We start from the raw sequence: 5182 nt of genomic DNA, 5'->3' as shown, positions 1-5182 counted from the left end.
ATTCGTCTCTAATTCTGACACTACTTCTCTTGCCTCCCTCTCTCACTTATAGGGGTCCCTGTGATGACAGTAAGCTCACCCTGATAATCGAGGCTAATCTCCCCATCTTAGGGTTAGCCTATTAGCAACCTAAATTCCACCGGCAACTTTAATTCCCCCCTTGCCATGCACCGTGACATATTCACAGGTTCTGGGGAGGAGGGCATGAGCATCTTTGTCGGGGCATTGTTCTGTCCATCACAGAGAAGCACTCAGAGATTCCGGACTCCAGTATCCTCATTGTACACTTGAGGAAGCTTGGGCTCAGAGGCTTTATGTTAATTCCAACAGTTTTTGCAACAGGAGGAGGAGAATATCTGTCCAGGAGCCCTAATCAAGACTCAGCAGGAAGCTGGTGGCTTCCTTTCCTTCCTTCTTTTGCTTCCTTCCTGTTCTTCCTGTGCTTCCTTTCAGTTCTTCCTTCTACATATGGGGCCCATCACATTCCCACTGACTCAGATGCTGAGGGGCCAGACTGAAGGGACAGTGGCCATTGCATCAAGTCAGAGAACGGATCTGACCCATCTAGTAGAAGCTTATTGTTTTGGCAGAAGCACAAGCTCTTAGAGGTGCAGCTGCAGGGTGTGACCTATTGGGGACATTGAGCTCAGTGACCATGGGCCCTGAGAGTCTGAAATCCTGGAATTTCTCCCAAAACGAAGTCCATGTAGGGAAGCCAAAGTGTGAGTCTTACCCGGCTGGTTTACAACTGACTGACATTTGCTGCCTGGGCAGCTGTTGTGGGTGCCTGGAAACCCTATTGGACTAGGACTGGCCCCGGCAAAAAACAAGTGTTATAGCTGCCCAGTGTCCTCTGAGTGGATGCTGGTGATTCTGGTATGGAGCCCAGATGTAAGGCAGCAGGTGGTCCAGAAGGCACCAGAAGAGGTCTCCTGTCAAAGTCAGGGCCAGAGAAGAAGGCACAGGGAACCTACTGCACGAGACTTTCACTTGCAACGAGCAACCCATGATGAGGAGGGAGGATTCCTGGGGGCATTGAGTCCCCCAGACACAAGGACCCAAGACCTTCTTGCTTGGAAAGTGAATTCCTCAGAATTCCGAGATGATGCCAGTCTTGGAGGAAGATGACATGAGGACCCAAAACCTTCTTGCTTGGAAAGTGAATTCCTGAGAATTCCGAGATGATGCCAGTCTTGGAGAAAGATGACATGAGGACCCAAAACCTTCTTGCTTGGAAAGTGAATTCCTCAAAACTCCACAAAGACTCCAGTCTTGGAGGAAGATGACATGAGGACCCAAAACCTTCTTGCTTGGAAAGTGAATTCCTCAGAACTCCACGAAGACTCCAGTCTTGGAGGAAGACGAGGTGTTGAGAGATAGCTGGGATCCCTGAGGAAGGCAGCCCCAGTCTCCGGTGGAGAATTAAGAGGGGCCCAAGCAGATGGTTGGTGGTGGAAACGTCACCTCAGTATAGTACTATGGAGTTTCCTTTCACCCCCAACAGCCGACGGTTTCCAGGGGCGAAGAGTGAAAATTGAAGCAAGGTGTCTACTGTCCAGGTGAGAGCCACATCCTATGGCTGAGGGCCTGGGGGCATTGGGGACCACCAAGAATGAATACTTTTCCAATTAAGTGAAGTCTTTTGCACAATATTCCTGACCAATAGCTAATGTTCTCTGAGAGAGTCAGAGCTTCAGCCCGTGAAAGGGCGAGGGAACTTGTAGGAAGATATATGTGAGTACAGATGTGAGGAGAACATGCTGAAGTAGCCCAGGGGCTCAGTTGAAGCTGAGGACTGGTGGTTCTGGTGGCTGTGCTGGGGGTGGGGGTGGCAGTGTGAGATGGAAGTGAGTGAGCAGGTTGGGTGGGAAAGAGGAAGAAACCTAGGCTGTTGTGTTTCCGGAGAGACCCCGTATCAAGGAAGAATGGGGGGATTTATCAGCCGGGGGGATATTTATTTTGTGGAAATGACCCCTAAGTGGGTAGGGCTAAAACCCTGCTGGCCCGGGGGAGAAGAGAAGCCTAATGCACTTTGTCTAAACCCACAGCGGTAGACAAGGAGGCAGTGCGCCTGCCACCCCCAAGGAAGAGTCAGTTCAGAAGCACAGCAGCTGCTGGAAACCCAGGAGGTTTCCAGTTCGTTCCTGCTGGGACCTGGCAAGAACTGCACTGTCAAGGCTGCAAGAGGTGAGCCCCCTAGGGCACAGCGGAAAGGGCATCATGAAAAGGGGAGCCTGCTGGCTGTTGAATGGCTGGATAAGATGTTGTTCTGCGGCCACGTGGGGCTCTAATGCCTCTTAATTCTCTCAGAGGCTGGGCAGCAGCTGCCATGCATTTTGTTGGGACCTGGGCTCTTCTGCTAGGAGTTCCTGGGGGCAGGAAGGCTGCAAGTTGAGGTTTTCTTTTAGGAATTCATTGTTCATTTGGAAAATGTAAAACGACTCACCATGGCTCTTTCTTCTTCTCTTGAGGCTCCTGACGGCTTCTGACATGTACAGAATGGAATAAGAGAACCTAGCAGAAATGGAAGCAGAGGCAAGAGGTAAGGCTTTTGGCCTGAAAGAAGAATGGGGAAGCAGCCTCTAAGACCTTCTTCCTGGTAAATAAGAAGGGAAGTGCTCTGGGGAGCCCATCCTAGAAGCTTATGATTCCTGGGGAGTCTGGGGAAGAAGAGGCCCCTGAGTGACTGATGAGCTCATCTGTACTAGGCCAGGTTTGTGCTTCTTAGAGAGACCCTGGCGACCTCTCTGTGTTATTGTGAGAGGAATGAAGACTAGACCACGAAAATAGAAAGTACTTCAGGCTCTGGAGCAAGGAGAGTCCCTAAAAATACATAGTCAGTCCAGCATTTCTGGGAGCTGGAGAGGACCTGGCTGAAAAATCCCAGCAGTCAGCACTGCATTATCAAGTTACTTCTGGTTTACCGGAAACCAAGAACTTAAGACAAAATTGAATCCATTTGTCTTAGTCAACTGAAGCTGCTACAACAAATACCATAGATCAGGTAGCTTAAAATCAACAGAAATTTCTTTCTCCTAGTTCTAGAGGCTGTGAGTCTGAGATCAGGGTGCCTGCATGATCGGGTTCTGGTGAGGGCTCTCACAGTTTGCAGACTGCTAACTTCTTGTATCCTCACATAATGGGGAAAGGGTGAGGGAGCTCTCTGGGATCCCTTATAAAATGGCACTAATCCCATTCATGAGGGCTCTACCTTCGCGACCTAATCACCTCCCAAAGGCCCCACATCCTAATACCATAACATTAGAGACTAAGCTTCAGTGTATGAATTCTGGGAAGGCACAAACATTCAGTCCATAGCACAGTTTCTAGGTTTCTGTCCTAAACCACCAGTTAGGTTTCTGATTTTAATCCAGTTAGCACAGGCTTTTGATAATGACTGCTAGGTAATGTGTTTGTGTTTGAAAATGTGGTGTGACATCTTTTTTTTTTTTTTTCTGGAGACAAGGTCTGGCTCTGTCGCCCAGGCTGGAGTGCAGTGGTGTGATCATAACTCACTGCAGCCTCAAACTCCTGGGCTCAAGTGATTCTCCTGCTTCAGCCTCCCGAGTAGCTAGGCATGGGCCTCTATGCTTGGCTAATTAAAAAAAAAAAAGTAAAGAGATGGTTTCACTACGTTGCCAGAGCTGGTCTCAAACTCCTGGGCTTAAGGGCTCCTCCCGCCTTGGGCTCCCAAAGTGCTGGGACTACAGGCGCGAGCCACCATGCCTGGCCCATCATTATTTTAAAGTTATATGATATATCGAATTGACTATTACTCTAGAAGAATTTGAATATGATTTGTTAAGGTCTATAATGTAGCCTGTTACTACCTTAAACCTATGGACTCACTTAGGAAGTGAAGTCGTCATTGTTGGACCTATTCTTTTGATTAACAGAGGTATGTGTGAAGGGCAGGAGATGTCAATGTTTAAGGGCGTAGACCATGGAGGCCTGCTTCTGGGGTGAGGGGGTCTCTATTTTGCCTCTTAAGTGTGACTTGGGCAAGCTCCTTAGCTCTTCTGTCCCTTACTTCCCTCATATGCAAAATGGGGATAGAAATACTGTCTTCCTCATCAGGTTATTGTGAAGATTGAATGAGTTAATAGATGTACAATATACTGAACAGTGGTTGGCCTCAAATATTAGCTATTTTTATCTCTTACTTCACTTCTTAAAAATGTATTACATCAATGTGGATTTTGCAATTATTTTTTGAAGAAAAATTTAGTTATTTTCTCGTTCTGATAGCATGCCTAGGAAACAAGATGGTTTCTGTTTTGGGACAGACGATTCTGGAAAGATGTTAGAAATATAGTACATTGAAACAAAATCTTCCAGTATCATTAACCTACACCTAGTGTTAAGCCCTGTCTTTTTTACAATGTTGTGGTCTCAGTAAATGTTTGATAAATAACTTCAGTACATTCACCAAGTTATTTTTGGTTGTTTCTAGGTCTGGAGGCCAGGAAAATGTCAATGGAAAGCAGCTAGCATGAAGACCCCACAGTGTTCCTCCCTCTAGTAGTCTGGTATTATTTGGAGCTGAGATGCTCCCAATATGGTTGGGACATTTGTCCCCTCCAAATCTCATGTGAGAATTTGATCCCCCATTTTGGGGATGGGGTCTAATGGGAGGAGTTTGGGTCATGACGGGGGACCCCTCAAGAATGGCTTTGTGCCCTGCTCACCAGGAATGAATGAGCTCTCACTCTACTAGTTCACTGGAGAGCTGGTTTTTTAAAGAGCCTGGCGTCTCCCCAACTTTCTCTCTTGCTCCCCCTTCTCACTGTGTGATATACCTGCTCCCCTTTGCCATCCATCATGAGTGGAAGCTTCTTGAAGCCTCCACCTAAAGCAGATGCCGACACTATGCTTCCTGCACAGCCTGCCATACCATGAGCCAATAAACCTGTTTTCTTTGTAAATTACCCAGCCTCAAGTATTCATTTGTAACAATGCAAAATGGACAAACAGAAAATTGGTACTGAGGAGTGGGGCTTTGCTATAAAGATAGCTGAATATGTGGAAGCAGCTTTGGAAATGAGTAAATTGGCAGATATTGGAAGAATGTGGAGGGCTTAGAAGAAGACAGGAAGATGAGGGAAACTTTGAAACTGTCAACCAAAGGATGATGAGGTTCATAAATGTGGAAAGGAGAGCTGTATTTCTTATAAATGGTTGC

The 5182-nt window shown here is 47.0% G+C and overlaps 1 long non-coding RNA gene across 1 annotated transcript; it reads left to right on the top strand.

The window, feature by feature from the left end:
* Positions 1 to 481: 481 nt before the first annotated feature.
* Positions 482 to 4927, top strand: LINC00930 (long intergenic non-protein coding RNA 930). The gene is made up of 4 exons (NR_021493.1): positions 482 to 1559; positions 2049 to 2187; positions 2472 to 2542; positions 4454 to 4927. It is a non-coding gene; the product is annotated as a long intergenic non-protein coding RNA 930 (long non-coding RNA).
* Positions 4928 to 5182: the final 255 nt, after the last annotated feature.

Source organism: Homo sapiens, chromosome 15 (assembly GCF_000001405.40).
Source record: "Homo sapiens chromosome 15, GRCh38.p14 Primary Assembly".
Lineage (NCBI taxonomy): Eukaryota > Metazoa > Chordata > Mammalia > Primates > Hominidae > Homo > Homo sapiens.
This window is presented reverse-complemented; position numbering and strand designations above follow the sequence as displayed.